The sequence below is a fragment of the Homo sapiens genome, chromosome 11 (assembly GCF_000001405.40).
Source record: "Homo sapiens chromosome 11, GRCh38.p14 Primary Assembly".
In the NCBI taxonomy this organism is placed as follows: domain Eukaryota; kingdom Metazoa; phylum Chordata; class Mammalia; order Primates; family Hominidae; genus Homo; species Homo sapiens.
In genome coordinates this window covers 82652757-82680662 of record NC_000011.10, presented here as the reverse complement: position 1 = coordinate 82680662, position 27906 = coordinate 82652757, and the positions used below count along the sequence as shown (strand labels likewise).

Here is a 27906-nt window from a genome sequence, read left to right as displayed (position 1 = left end):
AGTCAAACAAATTTTCAGTTAACAAACATGGCTACAGGCCTCTGTCTTGTTTCATGTCTTTGGGAACATGACCTGTAACTATGTGGCAATACTTTGTTTTAGTCTCCATCATTTTACAGTGGTGGTTGTCTTCTTGTACTAAGTCAGTTCCTGGATGAGGGCCACAAAATCAGATAAGCCATTTTATTGGTCTGGGCGGTGCCAGCTAATCCATCAAGGGCAGGGTTTACAAAATATCTTAAGCACTGATCTTGACACCAGTTAAGGGAGGGTCAGAATCTTGTAGCCTCCAGCTGTGTGACTCTAATCTTGTAGCTAGTTTCTTGGTCTAGTCCCCAGGCAAGAGGGAAGTATATCTTAAGAAAGGGCTGTTATCATGTTTGTTTTAGACTATAAACTGTAAACCAGGCACCTCCCAAAGTTGGTTTGGTCTACGTCCAGGGATAGGCAAGGACAGCTTGGGGGCTGGAAACAAAATGGGGTTGGTTGAGTTGGAAGTCTTTCACTATCAGTCACAATTTTGCACTGATGGTTTCAAAAGCTGCCTGTCACCTCCTTTGAAAATATCTTGTACACTTATGGTTAAGTCATAACCTAATTAAGGCTTGTTGGTTTCACCTGTGAGGTTACTTTTCATGAAGTTCAAAAGCTGAAAACTTAACTGCTTGGCATGGCTAAAGTTGAATAATAAGGGATTTAAAGAGCACTCAGCTTAATTAAAAGTGAATATTCAAGTTATAGGTATATTTAAAAGGTCTTTATGTTTTTCTCTTCTTGGATCTTGTTTTTCTGGAAAAAGGTTTTTTTTTGGCCTCAGTTGACCAAATTATTTTTCTCCATTTTTTGTTTTGTCACTCTTAATGCATGCATGACAGGCCCTAAGATAACTTCTGGTAGCATGGGACTCCATGGGAAAACAGAAGAGCTGCCGCAGACCCCGTTTTGGGAAAAAAACCTCTGTTTTTCTCATGAAACCCCAGGAATTAAAAGCAGATAGTTCCCTCTCAAAATCAAAGGCTCTGTTCTTAAATTTGGGGATCTGTCTTTGCCTTTAGCAATGCTTGCTTATTAGGCCCTAAAATTGCATGCTATCTTGCCCCTGTTCCTCCAAGGGCTCCACCCTGAAGCCAGTAATCCAATTAAAAAAGTGGCAGATGAAAAATCTTACAAGTGCTGAATCTTCAGTTTGTTTGTGTCGCTATGTATGTGCTATGTATGTGTTATGTGTAATGTATATAGAAAGAGCTCAAATTAATTGGCTTAAAGAAAAATAAGCACTTAAATCAAATATTTTTTAGTTCACATGACTTTAATTTTTAAGCTGGTACAAAATTAAAATTGCTTACTAACCAGGTTTTTCACCAAAAGTAAAAGTTGCTAAGACTTAAGAGTGCAGCATGTATTTGAGATCATTAAACAGTTTTACATGCAAGGCATATAAAAACAGTGAAATGTGTTTTTTAGTAAAAGATTATAAGAAACATGGAAATGTAAATTTTGCCTAGGGATAAGGGATTATCTTAAATTTAATAAGATAAAGCCAAACGTTTAAGTAAGTTGTGGAAAGATTGTAAAAATTAATCTTACAAAAAATATATAAACATTAACTAAATTCAAAGGAGTATTATATGGTCTTTTCATAAATTGAGCATTAAAATAAAAGCACAAAAAAGGTTGTTCTAAGATGGTAATCTGCCTTTAGCAAAAGGGGTTATAGAGTTTGTAAAGATTTCACCACATGGTCAAATTGGTTAAGATTAGATGGAATTTAAATAAGGTTTTATTTAAACAAATCAGGGTTAACATTAATAAACTAATGCAAGGGTATAATTTGACTTTGAACAGGATTTTCACGTAATAGTAAAGGCTAATAAAAGGGTTTTTAAAAAAATCATTATTTTGGCAAAATAAATAATTTGTGGCAATTTGGAATTCTATTTCATAACATTAAGTGTTTTAAACGTCTAACATTTAACGGACATCTCAAAATCAAACTCCAAGTTTCAAAATTGTCTTTCCTGATGCCTGGATTTCTGGATGGTTCAGAGGGCCCCTGCAACATTCAGAAAAGAGATGAACTGAATTATTTAACATTTTTAATCACATGAGATTGCCAAAATAATGTCCAGTCTTCTTTAAGTTATATTTTGGTGAATACTACTAATATATTTTATAAAATTGTATGGGATTTCTAAAATTCTATTGTCTGAATATATGCTATCAATCATAATTGAGGGTAAAGTTATTGTAAGCTATGGAGATAACTAAACTTCTTTGTCGTCATGTTTTTGAGTGTAATTACCCTAGAAATTTTGTAATTTGCAAACAATTTTTGTCTTGGTTTGTTCCTTCTCAAAAGATGGTTTATAATCAAGATATATTAAGGACTTTAACAGGTGTTCTCAAATGCAGGTTTCCAATAGCTTTGAAGATTATAACATTGGAATAGAGAAATACATACAGGACTCACAAAGAACTGGCATGTTCATGAATATCAAGCAAAACAAGAGTTAACTGAATGGACTGCACTCAGAAAGTTAGAGCAACCTTCTGGACTTTTGCTTAAAACATTGGTGATCCTTGTTTTGTTTTTCAAAGTTGAGGAAACTTATTTTGAACTATTTATGGCCTTTAATAATTAAGTAAGGTATACTCCTGCAAACAAAATTTGGAGCATGTTTGTTTCTCTCTGCCTGGTTCCTCTAGAATTTGGAAACTATCTGTAAGTACTCTTAACCTATGACAATATAGTTGTTTGCATCAGTGCAATAAGAATCCATTTTTCTTTTTCAAGAGGACACAATTGGAAAAACTGGTTATTTTACCAAGGCTTTGATGGAATGGGTGTGTTTCCCTTTAAGGAATTAAAGCCTGACAGGCAGAGCCAGTAAAAGCCCTTTGGGGGGAGAACTGGCCTCATAACTGATCTACACAGTCCCTGCAAAGGGTTCCTAACTTGTGGTCAGTAAAGAATGTCACTTTCTAACAGGTCCAGGAGCTCAAAGTTTATCTTAGGACCTCAAGAGAAAAGGATCACCCAACTCACAGGTATTTGAGGGTACAAACCCATGGCTGGACTCAGCTTTAACAGGTCTTATCTGAGATTCCTTGTGGAACAGAGTTCCATCAAAGCCAACCCAAAAGGCCTATGTAGAAATAATTATTCTTGCTGTGCTTTATGAAAATAATCAGGCCAAGTATAAGACTAAAGTTTATTCTACAAACAACATGGTCCTATCATAATTTGTTTTTACCAACAATGAGGACTAGAGAGAGAAATTATGCATACATTAAATCCTAGTCTTATTAATTGTTTTTAAGCTTTTTACCTACATTTTAGACTAACCCTGCTTATTCCTGTGAATCAAGTGGTGATCTTCTGCAGCTTGGAAGAAACAAAGAGGAATGGGTAATGTAAAAATCTGGATCAGTAAGCTAGTTCTGGGCAATTATCCTGTATATTCTGCAAGGTAATGAAAGTGAGTAGGGTGCCCATAACCCGGAGGTTTCTTTGTTGAGGGAAGTAGAATGAAGAAACTTCCTGGACCCCCCAAAAGGAAATTCTATATCTTAGCAAGTATAATTTTAGATGCGAATTATCTACCATACCACACTTGCAGGAATTGCTATAGTCTCTCTACTATTTGTAGTAAAGCTATACATGGTAGCACCTTCTAACCAAAATATTGGACAGAGAGTTTCTATTGTGGTAATATTTTGCTTAATTATTATCCTTATAGCAGGGATAATAGCCACCAACAAAAAAGAAGCATGGGAGTTTTACTATCACTGAGTTTGCTAGAACTTCTTATTGAGTTTGGTAATATGTCACACCCTGGCTATGAAAAGAAGTTTCAGGAAAAATCTAGCCAAGGCTAACACTAAAGTTACTCTAGCCACCCAAATCCAATGTCACTAATCCTAAAAGGAATGTTACTTTTATATTAATGTTTCTAGTAATGTACAACGACAACTAGTGGAAGGAAGCAGGCATTACAATCCATTGGTATAACTGACAGGTATCAAACTTCACTGTCAGTTATGGTCTATAGGACCCCCACTAACAGTGGTAATCTTAATGCTCATATTCTGACGCTGTATTTTAAACCTTCATGTAAAACTTATCTCTTTTTACCTAGAAGCAATCAAACCCCAAATGGTGCTGTGAGCAGAGCCACACATGGACACGCCATTCTTCCGAGAACCCTTAGATCAACCTCAGGAGAAGGCCGAACTGCTGCTCCCTGAGATGACACCACTTTTCAGCAGGGAGTAGTCAGAAATAATCGTCATCCAACACCCCCTAACAGCAGTTAGGTTTACTTCTCTTGAGGGGGGAATAATACAGGAGTTATTAAGAAATTATTTTAGGGAGATAGAGAGGGTAAGGAGTCCTCGGAAAGGCTTTTCCTTTGAAAAGAATCAGCTCCTGAAACATTTCTTTTCTAATAGAAAAGTGTCTTGAAAAGCCAGGCTGGCAAGCTTTGATACGTAAATGCCAGCAATTAGAAACTGGGTCCATCCAACGTAGTGATTCTCACCCTCTTCTCTTTGTCACCATATGTGCCAGGTGTCATGGCTGCCTTCAGATGACTCCACATTTGCAGGACGTCATGGCAACCTGCATTTGCATATTAAAAGGCTAGGGTGGGAGGGCCAGGTTTTTCATGGGCTATGTGAATGACACACCTGGTCAAACCAATCCCCTGGGCCCCATGCAAATCAGACACCGCCTCCTCCAGCCTCCCAGTATAACTAGCTACTTTTCTGCTGCACACGGGGTTTTTCTCTGTTTGGAGCCTGCCTCCCTCTCTATATGGGAAGACTTTTTCTTCTTTCTTGCCTATTAAACTTTCCCGTCCTTTAAACCACTCCACGTGTATCCATCATTTATCTAACTGGTGCAAGACAAAGGACTCTGGTGTTTCTCTAGTTATCAAAGACATATCAGGAAGATTCTGAGCATGTGCTTTCATACGACACCTGTCCATATTTGGAAAGAAGTTTATGAACTTCAAGTTTGGAGTGATCTTGTAACCTGGCTCTACAGGCCTCATCCCAGCAGTCTTCGCTTTCAACACCCAGAGAAAGGCTGTCCAGGGTAAACCAAAAGTTTGGAGCTTGATCTGATCCTGTCTCTCTGTTTAACACAGACAGAAGTTTTTCTCTCTTATTCCTGAGGAAAACAATGATAAGAGAAAATGGAAAGAAGAATTGTGATCTCTTTTTATTATAGCCTTTAATGCAGAGACCATTACTGCTAGGAGGGAACTTGGGGAGGATTTGTTTCAACTGAATAGTTTAAAATACTAGAAAACTGAAGCCCAGAGCAAGGGAATGCAGGAAGGTCCAAGTCACATTGGGAGTTAGAGGCAGACTAGAACCCAGGGCTCCTGGCTCCTAGGTCAGTTCACTTATACCCAATAACTGGGAAGTTGGAGCAATGCTTATTTTTAGATTCATGCTAGCCAGCAAGCACATAAAGTTGTGGGCTGACTGATGCAATCTTAGATTTCTTTAATGAAAGCAGTAGAGATACAGTGTAGGGTACTGCTAAGAACATGGGCTTTGGAGTTACCCAGGCTGGGGTTACCAGCTTGTGCACTTGGGCAAGCCACTTACTTGCTTTGAAGACATGCAAGTATTGTAGTACAATTGGATAATAGGAAGAGAGTGGTGGTAGGTAAGACTGAACAGGCAAGCAGGAGATACACCAGGGAGGGATTTTTATTCATGGATGTTATATCTAGACAATCAGCCTTCTATATATTTACCTTTTTCATATTTGGGGAATGGAAAGAGAAGAGTATTTAAAATGGAAGACCAGATTTGAGCCTACATTATTTTTCAATTTGTGTTACTTTGGGCAAGACAATCTCTGGAGATCTTAGTTGTTTGACCTGTGTGGGATCCTTTTTGTACACTCATTGCCTCACATTCTCTTGACCTCTCTATTCCAGCCACTACTAGTATAAACTGTTCTGCCCAAGTTTCTACCAGTTTTACTCTTGACGGTGCCTCAGTTAAGTGTGTGTGCTGCTTTCTGTCCCAGTGTGCCTGCAAGAGCCTACTCAACACTCACACACGGGCAACCTGAATGTATAAGATAGTTAGTGCCCCAAGGAGGATTCCTCAACCAGAGGGAAATGGAAATGGGGAGTCCTCAGAGAAAGGGGAGGGGATGAGCACTACAATGGAGGCCAGTGGATAATGCCTTCTTGAACTGGCTTTTTCTCTTTCCTCCATCCATCACTTCTGTTGCCTGCCATTGGTTCTCAAATTACTGCACACAAGCCCTTGGCTCAGGTTCTGCTTTCAGGTGGAAGCCAGGCTAAGGCAGCATCTGTTAAATGGGGGTCAAAATAACAATACTTTCCTTGTGTGTTGTTAAGTGAGGTATGTATGCACACAACATAAAAAAGATCAATGAGATATGCACATAAATGTACACATGAAACACATAGCATGGTCCTTAGCACAGAATTAGTGCTCAAGAAGCAGTATGTATTATGATGTGGCTACTGCTTCTAACCGTGGGCTTACATGATCAATTCTGGTGTCTATATCACATATCTTATTTGTGAAATTATAGGCTGAATTTTAGTATAGTGATATGGCTAGGCTGTGTCGCCATTCAAATCTCATCTTGAATTGTAGTTTCTATAATTCCCACATGTCGTGGGAGGGACCTGGTGGAGAGATAATTGAATCATGGGGGTGGTTACCTCCATGCTGTTCTCATGATAGTGAGTGAGTTCTTAGGAGATCTGATGGTTTTATAAGGGGCTTTCCCCAACTTTACTCTGCACTTCTCTTTGCTGCCGCCGTGTGAAGAAGGATGTGTTTGCTTCCCCTTCCACCATGATTTTAAGTTTCCTAAGACCTCCTCAGCTCTGCAGAACTGTGAGTCAGTCAAATCCCTTTCCTTTTTAAATTACCCTGTGTCAGGTATTTCTTCATAGCAGCATGAGAATGAAGTGATACATATAGTAATGTGCTTTTTGTTTTCCAGACCATTTTAGTATAATGTTAAAAAATATAATAAAACATTTCTTGGTATTCATTCCACCCACTATCAAGGGACTTCCAGCTTTACTCCTTTTATTTTCTCCAAGTTGTTCTTGATGTCTTCCGAAGCAGGGTTTCATGTGTTTTCTGCTACTGGAGGGAGTCTAGCATTTTTTTTCCTGCTGCATATTTAAGGCGATGTTTTCCAACCATTTTGCAAATGTGGAAATTGAAGCTTAGGTGCTTTCTCAAGTTGTTGAATAGTCATGCAACTAGTGAGTGGTAGACTCTCAGATTGAACTGACTCTGATTTCAGAACCCAAGTTCAAATTTGTTTTCATTCACTATATTAGCTCAATTGTATTGTCTTCAACATTTCCAGTCCATTGATCAAGATTCTATTACAGCCACCCCTATATATCTGGAGAGTGTAGATAAGTTTTCTTTTCTTTTTTTTTTTTTCCCAGAGACTAAAACAACTTTACCAGATTGAAACACTCAAGACAAAGGAGCCCAGGAACAAAATTCATCAGAAAACTAGAGGAAGTTTTCATGGAGTTGCTGTGAGTTAGAAACTTTTAATGAATCCGGTTGTATTGTTTACCAAGTTAAGATCCTCTCAGATGTCAGGAGATAGATGTGTAGATGTCAGCTTATAAAATACAGCTCTGGTGTGATAGCAGAAATATAAGAGGCTTGAATCCCTCCATGCCAAGAGATAATGAAGGAGGCCTGAGATAAGTTGGAAGAAAAACTGGCTACCAAGAGGGATAGCATTTTTTTTTTGTTGTTAAATCAAATATTTATGAGACTGGGCTTTGATTTCCCCATGGTTTAACAATTCAAGGGAAAGATAATTTTTGAGAGATACTTAAGGTGTTGGAGTAATTCAGGTAACTGTACCTAGTATGAAAATAATCACTAGAATTTCGAATGCATACAAATTGTGATGGGAGTAGAAGAAAATTTGCAATGTTAATACATGATGATGTAACATGTTCAAATGATTAAAATATGTCCTAGTGTCATAGACATGATTCTATCTCTTGTCAGTACAGAACATTTGGTTTTGATTTTGGATTTTACTAATGTTTATTGAATGCCTATCATGTGTTGGACACATGATAGGTTTTAAAATCTTTAATGATTACTAAATCCATTAAATATATATTATTTCATTTTTTAGGTAAGAAAACTGATATTCAGATAAGTTAAATGGTGCTCAAAGACACAGAGTTAGTAAGGTAAAAGTTGGACTTGATACTCAGGTCTGTATGTCTGTATGACATCAAAATCCATGATCTTTTCCTGATATAATTTTTTTTGTTTTGGAGACAAGATCTTACTTTGTCTGTCATCCAGGCTAGAGTGCAGTGGTGCAATCTCAGCTCACTGCAGCCTCCACATATGGGGCTCAAGTGTTCTTCCCACCTCAGCCTCCTGAGTAGCTGGGATTACAGGCACATGCCATTATGCCTGGCCTAATTTTTGTATTATTTGTAGAGATTGCGTCTCATTATGCTGCCCAGGCTGGTCCTGAACCCCTGGGCTCAAGCAATCCACCCAGCCTAGGCCTCCCAAAGTGCTAGGATTACAGGCATGAGCCACCATTCCCAGCCCCAATTCTAGCATTCTTAAACTATAATTTCTGGATCAAAGAAGATTATGGAGACTTGGCTTGAGGTCTACTGTCATGGTGGAATGAAACAAGCAATAGATTATTTTGAGTGGGAATGAAATAAAGGAAGTCAAGATCATTCATCAACTGTGCCCAGTGATTCACTGTTGGAAAAATTGTGCTCATTAACTTTGGTAAAAAGTGAACCAAAATCTGTTAGAGCTAAAGGAACCTGGCAGTTGTATGATTCAACCTCCTCACTTTACAGATGCGAATCCTGGGATCCATAATGGGGAGGTAGTTTGTCCAAAGTTGTTATGTGATGAGTCAGTGTCAGAGATCACTCACAGAAGTCCTGGCTTTCTGTAGGATATTCCTGGGTCTCTTCTCTGGAACTACATGAGAAAAGACTAATGCTCTTTCCACATGAAAGTCTTTCAAATATTTGGTAACAGTGCTCATGTTCCCTCTGGGTCTCCTGTTTTTCAGGTTTAGCAACTTTCATTGTTTAAGCATTCCCATCATGGTAGAGTTTGTAGACTCTTCATTACTTCAGTGTTTTCCAAAAGTGCACCATATTGTCAATTTCCCTGTCAAACTTTGGTATCCAGAAATGAATGCATTTCCCCAGGTTATATAAATAAATAATTTAATTAAGGAAAGTGGATATACATTCTTGCAACTTTCACAATTCAGATTGAGTTTTGTAAACAGTTTACTGTTATAAAGAAAATTTCGTGCTATATTCATTGGTTTCAGAATTATGGAATCATGAATATGGCAAATTGAGTGAAATTGACAATTGCTTTTCCTATTTCAAACTTATAAAAGTATCAGATAGAATCTGACAAATTTTATTTGCATCCATAGCTGAAAAAGAAACTAAGAACAGAAATTCCCTGGTGCTGCAGAGGTAGCACAAAGTTAGAGTAGTTAGTGGACCAAAAGCTGAAAATGCTTACGTAGTTACTGTAATATCACATAGAGCTTAAAGCCTGGGAACTAGGAACTAGGATTCTCTGATACTGGCATCAGGAAGATATTTAAGGCATCAGAGCTCAAGCTCATACTATAGATAAATTACCTGCCCAATAATAGAAGCCATGATGATCTGTTCGTTTTTGGAATAGGGAATAGAAGAACCTGGCCTGCCTTTCCTGGGAGACAGCAAAGAAGTTTGCAATCCACCTGGGGTTGTGTCAATAAATAAATCACCAATGGAAAATCAGAACCCTAGATCTGCACCACACATAGTTGTGAAATATGACTTCAAATACCCGTGGAGTATGAACATCAAAATAAAAAGTTAATGTAAAAAGTAGTCTAGTACTACTGCAGACCATAGAGAATAACAGAGACAGATACAATATGTTCTGTAGAGACACTTCCAGAGCAGCAAGGCTCCCAAAGTGCTGTTGAAGATAACCTCACAATCAAATATTAAAAATTATGCAAATAAATATAATTAATTTGCACAAGGTAAATCAGCAAATGAAACAAACATCAGTAAATGAACTAAATATCACCTCCAGAAGTATAAATAATAGAACAATCTAAAAGAGATACCAAAATAGATTAAACCGATTAAAGAATAATAGAAACTAAGACACAAATAGAATAATTAAAAATATGTAAATTTGAAACAGAATTAAAGTAGAATTCTAAAAATGAATGAAAAGGTCAATAAAATAAGTCACTCAATTGACAGATAAATAAATAAATAATGATTTTAAAGATAGACCTGTGAAAAATAACATTGGTAATTTGATAGGTATTGTACTGGATCTGTAAATTGCTTTGGGCAGTATGGTTATTTTAATGATATTCATTCTTTCAATCTCTGAGCATGAAATGTTTTGCCATTTGTTTGTGTAAGATTTATTTTATTAGTATTTTGTAGTTCTCCTTGTAGAAATCTTTCACCTCCTTGGTTAAATGTATTCCTAGATATTTTATTTGTACATGGCTATTGTAAATGGGTTTGAATTCTTGATTTGGTTCTCATCTTGTTATTGGTGTATAGAAATGTTACTGGTATTTGTATCTTGAAGCTTTCTTTAGGTCATGAATCAAATCTAGGAGGCTTCAGGAGGAGTCTTTAGAATATTCTAAGTATAAGATCACATCACAAGCAAACAGAAATAATTTAAATTCCTATTTTCCAATTTGGATGCCTTTTATTTCTTTCTCTTGCCTGATTGCTCTAGCTAGGACTTCCTTTCTAAGTTGATTAAAAGTGGTGAAAGTTGGCATCCTTGTCTTACTGCAGTTCATAGGGAGAATGCTTTCCACTTTTCCCCATTCAATATGATGATGGCTGTGGGCTTGTCATATATGGTTTTTATTATTTTGAGGTATGTTCCTTCTATGCCTAGTTTGTTGAAGATTTTTTTTTATCATAAAAGGATACTGAATTTTATTGAATACTTATTTCTGCATCTATTGAGATGATCATATGACTTTCGTTTTGTATTGTTTATGTGGTGAATCACATTTATTGGTTTGTGTATTTTCCACAGAATTAGAAAAGCCTAAAATTCATATGGAACCCAAAAAGACTCAAATAGCCAAAGCAATCCTAAGAAAAAAGAACAAAGCTAGCGGTATCATATTACTTGACTTTAAATTATGTTACAAGGCCACAGTAACCAAAACAGCATGGTATGGGTATAAAAATAGATACATAGATCAATGGAACAGAATAGAGAACCCAGAAATAAAGCCACATGCCTAAAACCAACTGATCTTTGACAAAGCCAACAAAAATATACACTGGGGAAAGAACACCCTATTCAATAAATGGTGCTGGGAAAATTGGATAGTCATATGCAGAAAAATGAAACTGGACCCATATCTCTCATCACATACACAAATTAACTTAAGATGGGCCGGAGACCTAAATGGAACACTGATGCTAAATGAATATCCTAGAAAAAAATGAGGAAAAACTCTTCTGGACACTAGCCTAGACAAGGAATTCAGGACCAAGACCTCAAAAGCAAATACAACAAAAACAAAAATAGACACATGAAACTTAATTAAACTAAAAAGCTTCTGCGCAGCAAAAGAAATAATCAACAGAGTAAACAGACAACTTACAGAATGGGAGAAAATACTTGCAAATTATGCATCCAACAATGGATTAATATCCAGAATCTACAAAGAACTCAAAAGACAAAAACAAATAACTTCATTAAAAAGTGGGCCAAGGACATGAACAGAAATTTTTCAAAAAAAGACACGTAAGCAGCCAACAAACATGAAAAAAAAAATGCTCAAAGTCACTGATCATCAGAGAAATGCACATTAAAGCCACAATAAGATACCATCTTACACCTGGATGTAAAATACCATCTTACATTCTGGATGGTCACAGAATGGATATTATTAAAAGTCAAAAACAACAGATGTTAGCAAGGATGCAGAAAAAAGGAATTGCTTATGCACTGTTGGTGAGAATGTAAATTAGTGAAACCTTTATGGAAAACAGTACGGATATTGCTCAAAGAACTAAAAATAGAACCACCAGTTGACCCAGCAATCCCACTACTGGTATCTACCCAAAGTAAAAGAAATCATTATATCAAAAAGACACCTGTACACATATGTTTATTGTAACACTATTCACAATAGCAAAGTCATTGTATCCATCAGTCATCAGTGGATGATTGGATAAAAAAGTGATGTATATGTATATATGCACACACCATGGAATACTATTCAGCCATAAAAAGAATGAAACCATGTCTTTTTCAGCAACATAGATGGAACTAGAGGCCATTATCTTAAGTAAAATAATTCAAAAACAGAAAGCAAAAAATCTCATGTTCTCACTTATAAGTGGGAGCTAAACAACGGGTACACACACACATAAAGTGGAATAATAGGCATTGGAGACTTTAAAAGGTGGGAAGGTGGGAGGGGAATGAAGGATGAAAAGTACCTACTGGGTACAATGTTCACTATTCGGGTGATGGTTACATTAAAATCCCAGACTTTGCCACTAAGCAATATATCCAGACAACAAAAATTTACTTGTACCCACTGAGTCTATAAAAATGAAAAATTAAAAAGATATACCTTATTATCCAGAATGTAGCACAGAGAAGCAAATATATGGAAAATATAAAAAAGATTGAGAATGGAAACCAGAGATTCCAAAATAAATAATAGAAGTAACAGATGAAGATAATAGAGGGAATAAGATAGATACAATATTGAAAGAAATAATGGCTGAGAATTTTCCAGAATAAAATATGTGAATTTACAAACTGAAAGAGCACAGAAGTCCTCATCAGGATAAGTTAATTAATTGTCAGCAAATACCTAATGAGCACTTACATGCCAAATGCTGTTGTGCCAAAAACTTCTACCTTATAGACCTGACATTCTAATTGAAGGTAAGGAGAAATGGAAAATAAACAAAATAGACAAGAAAAGTTAAGAACGGAAGTGGGGTATTGTATTTACCTTCTGATCCTCTGGTAACTACACAGCCCCTCCATTAATATATTTTTGCTGTTTGTTGAGTCAGAGATTGGTCGTTTTCATCCCTGCACATCATGAAGCATGGTCTATTATGGTTCCCAACAACATCTGGATAGCCTATAAAATCACATGAATTTATTGGCATTAATTTCTCTACCATCTTTATCAGTATCAAGTTTTATGCCCTGGTTAGTTTCCATCTTATTGATTTCTGAGGCTGTACTCGTGTTCTTGGAAGGAAGTAACCAAGAATTCCATTATTTGCCTGCACACAGCCTTGCCTTCAGAATGAAGGCATTTTGTGCCTGTTCATTCTCATTTTGTGCCTGTTCACTCATCTAGAACTTTACTGCTACTACCTCATGTTTCGTACTCATGGTTTCTTTCTTAAATAATTGCAATTGTCCCCTAATTGGTCTTCCTCTTTCCAGTCTCTCTCCCCTCTAATTTATTATCCACATTGGCAGTCAGGATGACTTTTCTAAAATAGGTTTGAGTATGTCATTTTCCTATTTGAATTATATCATTGACCCCTATAGCTATTCTAAACCATACAAGACACTCTATTATCCAGCTTCTTCCTACTTCCCGAGTCTCCCTTTCCCCCCACCTCCATTTCCACCCTATGTGCCATCCATACAAAATGTATGGATGGCACCTTGAATGGTCATGTGTTTTTAACATGTTTCTGTCCCTTTATTTATTCTGCTGCATTTGCATGACAAGATTTTTCTCCTTAATTTCTATTGCTGACTGCCAGACAAATATATACTAATCTGGAGATTTGGTTCAAGTTTCACTTCTTCTATAATACTTCTTCTGACCCCCATCTTGTAGCTGAATTAACCCGCCAAAATTTTTTGAGACCCCTTGGACTCTAAAGGCAAATTTCTCCATAATGTCCTCACATTATCTTGGAAATTTTTTTAGTGTATTTGCCCAAATACACTCTTTTGTTATTCTGGAGGGTGGATGCCTTTTCTTATTTTTTCTATCCTCCCCCTTGCCGAATATCTGACATGTATGTCAAATCAAGTACATATATTTGTTTGTTTGTTATTTTTAAAGAAAATGGATAAAGGAATGATGGCCGAAACAAAGATGTCTATTTTGAAATAGAATTGGTTGTCTGACTCTGACCCTAGAAGCCTTGTTTCTATTCTTTGGCCATGGAGAGCTAATCAGAATGTGTGGATCTTTTTTGAGGCACAACTGTAAGTCCTAAAACTATGGTGTTCTTCACTCTGACTTTATGGGAAACCTCCAGTCACTTGAAGACCTTGAAAGTTCCCTCAAAGGTAAAGAATGACCACATTTGCTTTCACCACAGAAACAATGAACTCTCCAATAGTGTGGAAAACAGCTTTTGAGCTGTATTTATCGATGCATAGATTTCACAGAGCTGTGATATTTGAAGACAAATAGCTGTGTCCATAATTAAGACTACTGGGGAATTGGCAGGTGTGATATGATGGAAGACTCAGGTTTTCCAAGGGAGCAAGATTGGTCAGGGTAATACAGTCTCTGTGACCTTGGTGCCCTCTTCCTGGTCATTGATTTCTCAGTCAAATATAACCTCTCATTCAATCAGTCTCCATATACTGCAACTTATGGATGCCCTGCTATAGGAGATAAAGATGATGTCCTGATGAAACTATAGGGGACGATGATCTCACCTTAGTTTTTTTAATTCAATATAACAGGAATTATATTGTTATATTGATGAAGAAGAGGTTCTCCATTAATGACCTTTTTAGTTTTTAAATCAAGATTATTTTATTATGTAGTAAGACTGATAGAGTAGGCAGCAGTCATTATTGTCAAGAGTCTTGATTTTAGACTGGGTTGAGTTCTGACTCCACCACATTTAAATGTTTTATTTCATTTAATCCTCAAAAAATCTTTGTAAGGTATTGTGACCCCTCATTTTAGAGATAGGGAAAATGAGTCTTAGAAAGGTTAATTGAATTTTCTAAAATCTCACACTGCATGGTGGAGCTATTTAGTATCAAAAGCTGATTCTAGAGAAATAAGAAATGTATTCTATTTTTTTTTAAATTTGAGTGTCAGTCTGACTAGCTATGCTAATAACTAGGAATCAAAAGGTTTTCTATCTCCCACTTCTACTCACTGGCTAGTACTCAACCAACATACTCAATTAAAATTTTCAAATGCAATTAAAAGAGTTTCTTGAACTACTTAATTCATGTAGATTTATTTGAATTCCCAAGTTGTGTTAGAGACCCCTGACACACAACTGTAATATGCCCCATATCTTAATGTTGAATTTATCACATTATAATTATTTATTTCATCTGTTTTTAACTAGTCTATGAACTCTTCCAAGGAAGGATTATGTGTTTGTAACTTGAGGGCTTAGCAGAGCATCTACCACTTTGTAGACACTTGGTGTATACTTGCCGAATGAATAAAAGATACTGACATATATTCACTTAAATCAATTTATGATACTATTTTGATAGACTCAGCTGGTGGATTAATAGGTTCTCCTGCCACAGAGGATTGAAGTGAGGGTGGGGCTCAGGAACAGGCTCTTGCTTCTCTGGCACAGCTAGAATGCATGTACTGAAGGTGGTCAGCCTCCAGGCTCGGTCCCTCTTGAGTGTAAGGTGATGAGCACTGTGGTGAAGTGCTGAATTTTTTCTACTAAATGCAAGCGGAATTTGAACTTGATTTCATTTTCCTTATCCTGTTATATGTTGTGTTTAGAATAAGACTTAGAAATGGGCCTGTCTATTGTGAATTTGCCTTTTCCTGAAGACCACATATGTGCACTTATGCTTTATGACTGTCTATGCCATGAAACTTTCCTTAGAGATCATTATTGTCCATGCTGTTCCTTGAACCTTCAAGAAAGTAAATTCTTGGATCTCTAACCCTTGAGAGCTCCTATGGTCTGAGGTTGGATTCAAATTCTCTGCTTATAAAACTGACTGCTCTCCAGCTTTAATCTAGATTTATACCAGATAAGTAGAGACAACGAATATAATGAATAGCCACAGGCTCCTGCTGCTGTGTTCCATCCCTTGAAATCAGACCCTTTTCCTGCTGATGCTAGCCTGGATCTCATCTGAATTTTCCAAGTTCATTTGAACAGAGTTCCTCGGACTTCTTTATTTAAGGCTTACTTCATTCCTGTTTCTGGATCACATTGAGGTCAAGCCTATGTTGTGACCGAAGTCTTTTAGTTATGACACAGGAACAGGGAGAAAGTAGGAGAGGTTTTCTGTGAATTTTCAGGACCTGAATAGCTCCATCTGGATGAAAACAAAACAAATAAAAATTCTGATCATAAGCGTAATGCTTTATGCACTTTAGGGAGATAGATATGTCAACACAATAGTGAAGAAGAAATTGAACCATTTGAGGAATGGAGATACACAGTATTTTTGAGTAACTCAGCCATTCTCATTGTTATTTTGGACAGGATCATGCCTTTTATGGGAATTTTAGAAATCTGCAAACTCATTCACTGGACTGGCTTTAATAAGACTGCACCATTTCCTCTGTTGTTTCTTTGTCATTGATGAGAGTTTGGTCATACGCGGTTTCTTAAGCACATAAGTCATAATGCAGATTTTTATGCATGGTGTGAACACATAGGTGATAGATGGTCCCTGAGATGCTTGAGAAGATTGCCTTATGAATTTGCCCTCAGCAGGCTGACCTTCACAAACTGGAAGCATCACCTTTGCAAGGGCAGGTTCAGTGTCTTCTTTGAAAAAGTAATTTTCTTTTGTGAATAACATGCTGTGTCATGGTTTATAACAATGAGAGGAACTGAAAGCAATAGAACTCAGGAGGCAGAAAAGGGCTGTCTGTCTAAGGAATAACAAGAACTGATTGTATTCCCTGCCATACAGTGATGAAAAGGCATCTGGTAAAAGCTTTTAGTTGATTTTCTCTTCTAATCATGTTCAGGAATGCATCTAATGCATCGTGTGCCTTTGAAAGAAAAAAGAAGAACCATTTTAAAGAATAATGCCTTCATTTAAAAAGATTTTATCTAATGAGAGTTGGGGACATGGGCTCCTTATAATGTATACAAGTCAACACTGTGCTATAGGAACATAGAAGAGTTAGTAGGAATTCTTTTTGGGAGTTTGGGAATGTTTCACAGAGAGGTGATGTTTGAGCTGGTCCTTAAAGAGTATATAGGAGTTTTCCAGATGAAAACAAAAGGGAAAGGACCTCCCAAACAAGGAAAAAACCATGTACAAAGGCACACACAAAAAGCATTTCCAAAAATCTGTACCTATATATATATTTATTTTATTTTATTTTTTATTTTATTTTTTTATTATACTTTAAGTTCTAGGGTATATGTGCCCAACGTGCAGGTTTGTTACATAGGTATACACGAGCCATGTTGGTGTGCTACACCCATTAAGTCGTCATTTACATTAGGTATATCTCCTAATGCTATCCCTCCCCCCTCCCCCCACCCCACGACAGGCCCCGGTGTGTGTTGCTCCCCTTCCTGTGTCCAAGTGTTCTCATTGTTCAATTCCCACCTATGAGTGAGAACATGCGGTGATTGGTTTTCTGTCCTTGCGATAGTTTGCTCAGAATGATGGTTTCCAGCTTCATCCATGTCCTTACAAAGGACATGAACTCATTCTTTTTATGGCTGCATAGTATTCCATGGTGTATATGTGCCACATTTTCTTAATCCAGTCTATCATTGGTGGACATTTGGGTTGGTTCCAAGTCTTTGCTATTGTGAATAGTGCCACAATAAACATACATGTGCATGTGTCTTTATAGCAGCATGATTTATAATCCTTTGGGTATATACCCAGTAATGGGATGGCTGGGTCAAATGGCATTTCTAGTTCTAGATCCTTGAGGAATCACCACACTGTCTTCCACAATGGGTGAACTAGTTTACAGTCCCACCAACAGTGTAAAAGTGTTCCTATTTCTCCACATCCTCTCCAGCACCTGTTGTTTCCTGACTTTTTAATGATCACCATTCTAACTGGTGTGAGATGGTATCTCATTGTTGTTTTGATTTGCAATCAAAAGAAGACATTTATGCAGCCAACAGATACATGAAAAAATGCTCATCATCACTGGCCATATATGTGTGTGTGTGTGTGTGTGTGTGTGTGTGTGTGTGTATATGTGTATATATATATATATGTGTGTATATATATATGTGTATATATATATATATATATGTATGTGTATATATATATATTTTTTGGTCCTGGAGTCAGTATGAGAAATGCTGCTTAGGTTTCCAGAGGAGCCAAAAATGCTATTTTTGGAATCATGCACCTAAAATATTAAATTACAATTTCAACTGTATTCTTTAATTCAAAAAATATTTATTGAGCATCCGACCTTGTTCTAGCTGTATACCAGCCAAGTGATATAGCAATGAACAAAACAAACAAAAAATTCCTTCCCTTGTTGTATTTAAGGGCTTCTGAATGTTGTAACGTTTCTGAGAGTTTTGATTTGAGGATGCTGGGAAAACAGGCTCTCTCTCTCTCTCTCTCTCTCTCTTTCTCTCTCTCAGAGAAAACATATAGATAGTCCTGAGCTGTTGTAACAGGAGGTAACTCAGTGTCAGGGATGGAAAATACAGGCACATATTCTCTTACTTCCTGCTCTTGCTGCTTTTTCAGACATAAATAATTAAATATGACTTGGTTTCTTATGAGCCTGGATCCAGCCCCAGAATCCTTCTCAAGATAGCATACCAAGTAACCACTTCCAGCTAATCAGAACTGGCTTGCCAGATGAAAGCTCTAGGTCAATTATTCTCTGTAGTTCTAAATTTGGGAGGATAAAAGGGCTTTCAGAAGGTTCTATCCTGGGTGAGGGAGTCAGTCCATACTGGTTGCTGATGATAAATATTTAGTCTTCTTCTTAATTTAGTTCAGTACAGAAATTTCTTGGGCACATAATATGTTCTGGCATAAGTTAAGGTCCTTGTTATTAAGGAGCTTAAAGTCCAGTGAGTGAGGGAGAGAGACATGTTAGCCAAGCCTTGCAGTATGGGTTAGTAAGTATAATGGAGACTAAGATAAAACATGCAGAGAAACAAAGGAGGGTATAATCCACTCCACGGGGGAATAGGGAAAGGGTCATGGAAAACTCAGAATGATACTTCAAGTGTGCAGTCGGCCTCCGTTGTTTCTGCATCCATGGATTCAAGTAACCACATATCAAAAATATTTGGGGAAAAAAATTGTGTCTGTCCTGAACATGTACAAACATTTTTTTCTTGTAATTATTACCTAAAAATACAGTATAATGACTATTTACATAGCATTTACCTTGTATTAGGTATTACAATTGATCTAGAGATGATTTAAAGTATATGGGAGAATGTACATAGGTTACATGCAAATACTCTGCTATTTTATATCAGGGACTTGAGCACCTGCAGGTTTTGGTATCCAAGGGAGATCCTGGAACCAATCCCTCACAGATACCAAGGGATACAAGGGATAACTGAATATACATATGTGTATATATATATACGCAAACATACACCTTTGCTTTACATTCTCTTTATTCACCATTATTGAGGTATAACTGATGAATAAAAATTATATATATTGAAGGTGTACAACATGATGTTTTGATATATGTATACATTGTGAAATAATTGCCAAAATCAAGGTAATTAACATATCCGTCATCTTACATGGTTATATTTTCATTGCAACAAAACTTAAGATCTCTTCCTGTGGTGGTTAATACTGAGTGTCAACTTGATTGGATTGAAGGATACAAGTATTGATCCTGGGTGTGTCTGTGAGGGTGTTGCCATAGGAGATTAACATTTGAGTCAGTGAGCTGGGAAAGGCAGACCCACTCTTAATTTGGGTGGGTACAATCTAATCAGCTGCCAGCGCCGCTATAATATAAGCAGGCTGAAAAATGTAAAAAGAGAGACTGGCCTGGCCTCCCGGCCTACATCTTTCTCCTGTGTTGGATGCTTCCTGACCTCAAACATTGGACTTCAGGTTCTTCAGTTTTGGGACTCAGACTGGCTCTCCTTGCTCCTCAGCTTGCAGACAGCCTATTGTGGGACCTTGTGATCGTGTAAGTTAATACTTAATAAACTTCCCTTATATAAATAAACTTTAATAAACTTAATATATATATCTTTATGTATATCTTAAACTTCCCATATATATATAATTGATGAATAAAATTATATATATTGAAGGTGTACAACATGATGTTTTGATATACATATACATTGTGAAATAATTGCCAAAATCAAGGTAGTTAACATATACAATATCTTACATGGTTATCTTTTCATTGCAACAAAACTCAAGATCTATTCTGGTGATGGTTAATACTGAGTGTCAGCTTTATTGGATTGAATATATATATATATGAAGTTTATAAAGAGATATATATATATATATCTCCATCCTATTAGTTCTGTCCCCCTAGAGAACCCTGACTAATACAATTTTCTTAAGAAATTTCAAGTGTACAGCACATTATTATTAACTATTTGTCACCATGCTGTGCATTGTGTCCAGAACTTATTCACCATCTTACAAATCTCACAAATACAAGTTTGTACCCTTTGACCAACATCTCCTCATTTTCCCATTCCTGACCCCTGCTAACCATTATTTTACTCTCTGTTTCTATGAGTTTAAACATTTTAGATTCTACATATAAGTGAGATCATGTAATATTTGTCATTCTGTGTCTGGCTTGTTTTACTTAGCATAATGTCTTCCAAATACACCCATTTCATTTCAAGATTTCCTTTTAAACAAAGCTTGACGAATATTACATTGTCCACATGTAATATATGTCCACATATTTATTTATTTCACATTTCAATAAAATTTATTTCAATGAAATTTATTCAATAAATAAAATATTTCAATAAAAATTTATTTCAATAAAATAAATTGAAATTTTATTTCAATAAAATATATCCACATATTTATTTATTTCACATTTCCTTCCTTCCTTTCTTCCTTCCTTCTTTCCTTCCTACCTTCCTTCCTGACAGAGTCTCACTCTGTTGCCCAGGCTGGAGTGCAGTGGCGTGATCTTGGCTCACTGAAACATCTGCCTCGCAGGTTCAAGGGATTCTCCTGCCTCAGCCTCCCAAGTAGCTGGGATTACAGGTGACTGTCACCATGCCTGGTTAAATCGTGTTTGTTTTTTTTTTGTATTTTTGGTAGAGACAGGGGTTTCACCATGTTGGCCAGGCTGGTCTGGAACTCCTGAACTTCAAGTGATCTGCCCTCCTCAGCCTCCCAAAGTGCTGGGATTACAGGTGTAAGCCACTGCGCCCAGCCTATTTCACATTTTATTTTTTGATTCATCCATCAACAGACACTTAGGCTGTTTCCATATATTAGCTTTGTGAATAATGCTGCAATGAACATGAAACTGAAGATATCTCCTTAACATATTGATTTTGTTTTCTTTGGATATATATCCAGAAGTAGGATTGCTGGATTACATGGTGGTTCTATTTTTATTTTATTTTTTGGGAAACCTCCAAACTGTTTTCAATAACTGCTGTACCAATTTACCTCCCCCCCAACAACATATAAGGACTCCTTTTTCACATCCTCATCAACAATTGTTACAATCTGACTTTTTGATAATAGCCATTCTAAGGAGTATGAAGTGATATGTCATTGTGGTTTTGATTTGCATTTCTCTAAAATCAGTTTAGTAATGTTGAGTGCATTTTCATAAACCTTTTGGCCATTTGTATGTCTTTTTTGAAAAAATTCAGGTTGATATGATTTGGCTCTTGTCCTTACCTAAATCTCACCTTGAATTGTAATAATCCCCACATGTCAAGGGCAGGACCAGGTGGAGATAATTGAATAATGAGGGGCAGTTTTCCCTATACTGTTCTGGTGATAGTGAGTGAGTTCTCATGGTAGTGAGTTCTCATGAGATCTGATGGTTTTATAAAGCGTTTCCACCTTCGCTTGGCGGCTCTCTTTCTTCTCTCTCCTGCTCTCTCTTGTGAAGAAGGACATGTTTGCTTCCCTTCCCACCACAATTGTAAGTTCACTGAGGCCTCCTCAGCCATGCAGAACTGTGAGTCAATTAAACCTCTTTCCTTTATAAATTACCCAGTCTTTTTTTTTTTTTTTTTTTGAGACGGAGTCTCGCTGTGTCACCCAGGCTGGAGTGCAGTGGCGTGATCTTGGCTCACTGCAAGCTCTGCCTCCCGGATTCACGCCATTCTCCTGCCTCAGCCTCCCGAGCAGCTGGGACTACAGGTGCCCGCCACCAGACCTGGCTAATTTTTTTGCATTTTTAGTAGAGATGGGGTTTCACCATGTTAGCCAGGATGGTCTCGATCTCCTGACCTCGTGATCCACCCGCCTCGGCCTCCCAAAGTGCTGGGATTACAGGTGTAAGCCACCACGTCCGGCCGAATTACCCAGTCTTTATAGCAGCATGAGAACGAACTAATAAACAGGTCCTTTGCCCATTTTTTTATAGAGTAATTTTGTTTGTTTGTTATTGCTATTGAGTGTATACATTTCTTGTATATTTTGGATATTAACCCCTTATTGGATATATGTTTTCTAATATTTTCTCTCATTCTATGTGTTTCCTTTTCATTTTGATAATTATTTCCTTTATTGTGCAGAAACTTTTAGTTTGATGTTATACGTGCTTATTTTTGGTTTTGTTGTCTGTGCTTTTGGTGTCATGTTGAAAATAATCATTGCCAAGACCAATGTCATGGAGCTTTTCCTAGTGTTATTTTCTAGGACTTTTATGGTCTCATATCTTACATTAAGTCTTTAATCCATTTTGTGTTTATTTTTGTGGGTGGTGTAAGAGAAGGATTCAATTATATATTTTTGCATGTAGATATCCAGTTTCCCAACACCATTTATTGATGAGACCATCCTTTCCCCATTGTGTATTCTTGGTGTTTTTGTCAGAGATTAGTTGGAAGTATATGCATGGGTTTATTTCTGGGCTTTCTATTCTGTTCCATTGGTCTATGTGGCTGTTTTTGCACCAGTGCATACTGTTTGTTTACTATAGCTTTGTAATATAATTTCAAATCAGTAAGTGTGCCACCCCTAGCTTTGTTCTTGCTCAAGATTGCTGTAGCTGTGCATGGTCTTTCTTGGTTCTATAAAAACTTCAGGATTTTTCTTCTACTTCTGTGAAAAATGTTACTGGAATTTTGATAGGGATTACATTGAATATGTAGCTTACTTTGGACAGCGTGGGCATTTTAACAATACTGATTCTTTCAGTCCTTGACACAAGATATCTTTCCATTTATTTTCAATTTATATCATCAATGTTTTATAGGTTTTAGTGTACAGGTTTTTCACCTTCTTGGTTAAATTTATTCCCAAGTATCTTATTCTTTTTGACATTATTGTAAACGTGATTGTTTTCTTAATTTCCTTATTTCTTTTTTTGGATAGGTTGTGTTTAGTCCATAGAAAGGCATCTGCTTTTTGAATTAATTTTAGATCCTGCAACTTTACTGAATTTCTTTATTAGTTCTTAAAAGTTTTTTTTTTTCTTTTGGTGGTACCTTTAGAGTTTTTTCTCTATATGTTGTCTGCAAACAGACAATTTCACTTACTCCTTTTCTATTTGGATGCCTTTTAGTTCTTTTTCTTGCCTAATTTCTCTGGCTAGGACTTTCAATACTGTTAAATAGAAGTGTTGAGAGTGGGAAATCTTGTCTTATTTCTGGTCCTACAGGAAAAGCTTTGAACTTTGCACTGTTAGTTGTGGGTTTGTCATATATGGCCTTTATTCTGTTGAGGTACATTCATTTTACACTAACTTGTTGAGCATTTTTATTATAAAAAGATGTTAAATTTTGTTGAATGCCTTTTTTGTACCTATTGAGATGAGTATATGATTTTTCTTGTTCATTCTGTTAATGTTATGTATCATATTTATTGACTTGAGTAGGTTGAATCATCTTTACTTCCCAGAGATAAATCATACTTGATCATGGTGGTGTATGGTTCTTTTAATGTGCTGTTGTACTTGGTTTTCTAGTATTTTGTGGAGAAATTTTGCATCTAGGTTCTCAGGAATAGTTGCCTGTAATTTTCTTTTTCTGTAATATCCTTGTCTGGTTTGGTATCAGGATAATGCTGGCCAGAAAAATAGTTTGGAAGAATATTATTCTCTTCAATTTTTTGAAATCAATGGGAATCCATGTTTGGGATTTTGATCTTTATCTTAAGAGCAAAAGAAAACCATTGACAGGTGTTATTCAGGGAGGTAGTAAGATGATCACATTTGCTTTTTGAAAATCACTCCAAATACACTGACAATAGATTGGAGGAAGACAAAAGTAGATAAAAGAAACTAGTTGTGATAGTTCTAATGTGAGGTAAAAGTGGCTTGAACTAGGATTATCCCAGTGTGCGTGGAGATAAATATACTCAAGAAATATTACTGGATAAACCAAAAGGACTTGGTGACTAATGAGATATGGATACAGAGAGGGAGATATCAAAGATCAGTCACAGATTTCTGACCTGAACTGTTGGGTGCATGATGGTGACATTCCTTAAGATATTTATCCTGAAAAAGAACCAGATTAGGTGCAAACCATCTTCCATTTGTACATTTCACCTGAAGAACCCAAGGATTAGAGGAGTTAGGTGAGTTGCTTCAGGTTATATAATAACTTAGTGTTGACCAATATTTAGATTTTTGGACTCCTCATTGTTCAGTTTCTCTTCTTCCTCCTCACTGACTCACAACAGCCTTCTAAATTAATTCTATGTGTATAGAGTGGTCTCCTTTTAATTTATCCTCCACACTTATACACTACTCTGTCTAAAACCCTCAGTAACTCCCACTTTTTGACTAAAGCTTAAAGTTAAGAGTCCTTTCATGGCACATGAACCATTTCTTCATCTGAAAGAAACTGTGAGTCATTAAGTTTAGTTAAAACAGAACATAAGGGTGAAGAGAGATGAGAAAAGAGACTAAAGAGTAGATTAGAATGTAGATTAGAAAGACTTATAAATAATTTTCCTATGTTTAGAATATAATTTAAGAGAGAGAGTAATTTTTATTTAGCCTTTATTTTTATCCAGTTGTGTATGCACATAAAGACTCAATTTTTTTGACCCTGGTTTTATTTAAAAAAGGCAGTCTTCAGCTCTGTGACCTACCCCATTTTCCCAGTTTAGAGAGGTATGCATACTTTTAACAGTTTTGATTAAATTATGCCTAATTTTACATATTTACCTTCAATTTTCTAAATCACTTGCCTATATTGCTACTCATTGATTGTTTAGTTTTGGGCATTTATCTATCAACTTCCCACCACAGAAGATGAAAATTTAGCTCTCTTTCACTTTTCATCTCTTTCCTGGCCCCATCATAGACATACACACTTACCATCTGTATTAGTCCATTTTTGTGCTGCTGATAAAGACATATGCAAGACTGGGGGAAAAAAAGAGGTTTAATTGGACTTATAGTTCCACATGGCTGGGGAGGCCTCAGGCACTCAGGTGAAAGGCACTTCTTACATGGTGGCAGCAAGAGAAAATGAGGAAGATGCAAAAGTGGAAACTCCTAATAAAGATCCATCAGATCTTACGAGACTTATTCACTACCATGAGACCAGTATGGGGGAAACTGCCCTCATGATTCAAATTATCTCCCACCAGGTCCCTCCCACAACGTGTGGGAATTATAGGAGTACAATTTGAGATGAGATTTGGGTGGGGACACTGCCAAACCATATCATTCCCCTCCTGGCCCCTCCAAATCTCATGTCCTCACGTTTCAAAACCAATCATGGCTTCCCAGCAGTCTCCCGAAATCTTAACTCATTTCAGCATTAACGCAAAAGTCCATAGTCCAAAGTCTCATCTGAGACAAGGAAAGTCCCTTCCGCCTATGAGCCTGTAAAATAAAAAGCAAGCCAGTTACTTCCTAGAAACAATGGGTGATACAGGTATTGGGTAAAAACAGCCTTTCCAAATGGGAGAAATTGGCCAAAACAAAGGGTTTACAGGGCCCATGAAGTCCAAAACCCAGTGGGGCAGTCAAATTTTAAAGCTCCAAAATAATCTCCTTTGACTCCAGGTCTAACATCCAGGTTACACTGATGCAAGAGGTAGGCTCCCATGGTCTTGGGCAGCTCCACCCCTGTGGCTTTGCAGAGTACAGCCTCCCTCTCAGCTGTTTTCTTGGGCTGGCATTGAGTGTCTGTGGCTTTTCTGGGTTCATGGTGCAAGCTGTTGGTGGATCTACCATTGTGGGGTCTGGAGGATGGTGGCCCTCTTCTCACAGCTCCACTAGGCAGTGCCCCAGTAAAGGACTCTGTGTGGGGGCTCTGACCCCACATTCCCTTCCGCACTGTTCTAGCAGAGGTTCTCCAGGACGGCTCCACCCCTGCAGCAAGCTTTTGCCTGGGCATTCAGGCATTTCCATACATCTTCAGAAATCTAGGCAGAGGTTCCCAATTCTTGACTTCTGTGCACTGGCGGGCTCAATGCCATATGGAAGCTGCAAAGGTTTGGGGCTTGCACCCTCTGAAGCCACTGCCTGAGCTCTACGTTTGCCTGTTTCAGCCACAGCTGGAACGGCTGGGATGCAGGGCACCAAGTCCCTAAGGCTGCACACAGCACGGGGGACCCTGGGCTTGGCCCACAAAACCATTTTCTCCTAGGCCACTGGGTCTGTGATGGGAGGGGCTGCCATGAAGACCTCTGACATGCCCTGGAGACATTTTCCCCATTGTCTTGGGGAATAACATTTGGCTCCTCATTACTTATGCAAATTTCTGCTGCGGGCTTGAATTTCTTCTCAGAAAATGAGTTTTTCTTTTCTATCACATTGTTAGGCTGCAAATTTTCCAAACTTTTATGCTCTGTTTACCTTTTAAAACTGAATGCTTTTAATAGCACCCAGGTCACATTTTGAATGCTTTGCTGCTTAGAAATTTCTTCTGCCAGATACCCTAAATCATCTCTCTCTAGTTCAAGGTTTCACAAATCTCTAGGGCAAAATGCCACCAGTCTTTTTGCTAAAACATAACAAGAATCACCTTTGCTGCAGTTCCTAACAAGTTTCTCATCTCCATCTGAGACCACCTTAGCCGGGACCTTATTGTCTATGTTGCTATCGGCATTTTGGGCAACGCCAATCAACAGGTCTCTAGGAAGTTCTAAACTTTCCTATATTTTCCTGCCTTCTTCTGAGCCCTCCAAACTGTTCCAACCTCTGCCTGTTACCCAGTTCCAAAGTTGCTTCCACATTTTTGGGTATCTTTTCAGCAATGCCCCATACTACTGGTACCAATTTACTATATTAGTCCATTTTCATGCTGCTGATAAAGACATACCCAAGACTGGGAAAAAGAAGAGGTTCAATTGGACTTATAGTTCCACATAGCTGGGAGGCCTCAGAATCATGGCAGGAGGTGAAAAGTACTTACATGGTGGCAGCAAGAGAAAATGAGGAAGACGCAAAAGCAGAAACCCCTGATAAAACCATCAGATCTCATGAGACTTAATCACTACCTTGAGAACAGTATGGGGGAAACTGCCACCATGATTCAAATTATCTCTCACCAGGTCCCTCCCACAACATGTAGGAATTATGGGAGTATAATTCAAGATGAGATTTGGGTGGGGACACAGCCAAACCATATCCCTATCCTCCAACTTCCCAAATATATCATAATTTTAGGTAAATATTCAGAGTTTACATTATTATGACTATGTCAACTCTCTTCAGAGCTAAGCAATAAGGTAAATTTTTTTTTCCTGTTCAAC

The 27906-nt window shown here is 37.3% G+C and overlaps 2 annotated features.

Annotated features, from left to right (window-relative positions):
- Nucleotides 129–329: a silencer, noted in NCBI's record as "peak1371 fragment used in MPRA reporter construct". NCBI's record gives its function as "represses an SCP1 promoter by STARR-seq MPRAs in K562 erythroleukemia cells {active_cell/tissue: K562}" and the evidence as "EXISTENCE:reporter gene assay evidence [ECO:0000049][PMID:32103011]".
- Nucleotides 26701–27201: an enhancer, noted in NCBI's record as "H3K4me1 hESC enhancer chr11:82364504-82365004 (GRCh37/hg19 assembly coordinates)". NCBI's record gives its function as "activates a minimal SCP1, AML or CMV promoter by ChIP-STARR-seq in primed H9 embryonic stem cells {active_cell/tissue: H9 hESC(primed)}" and the evidence as "EXISTENCE:reporter gene assay evidence [ECO:0000049][PMID:30033119]".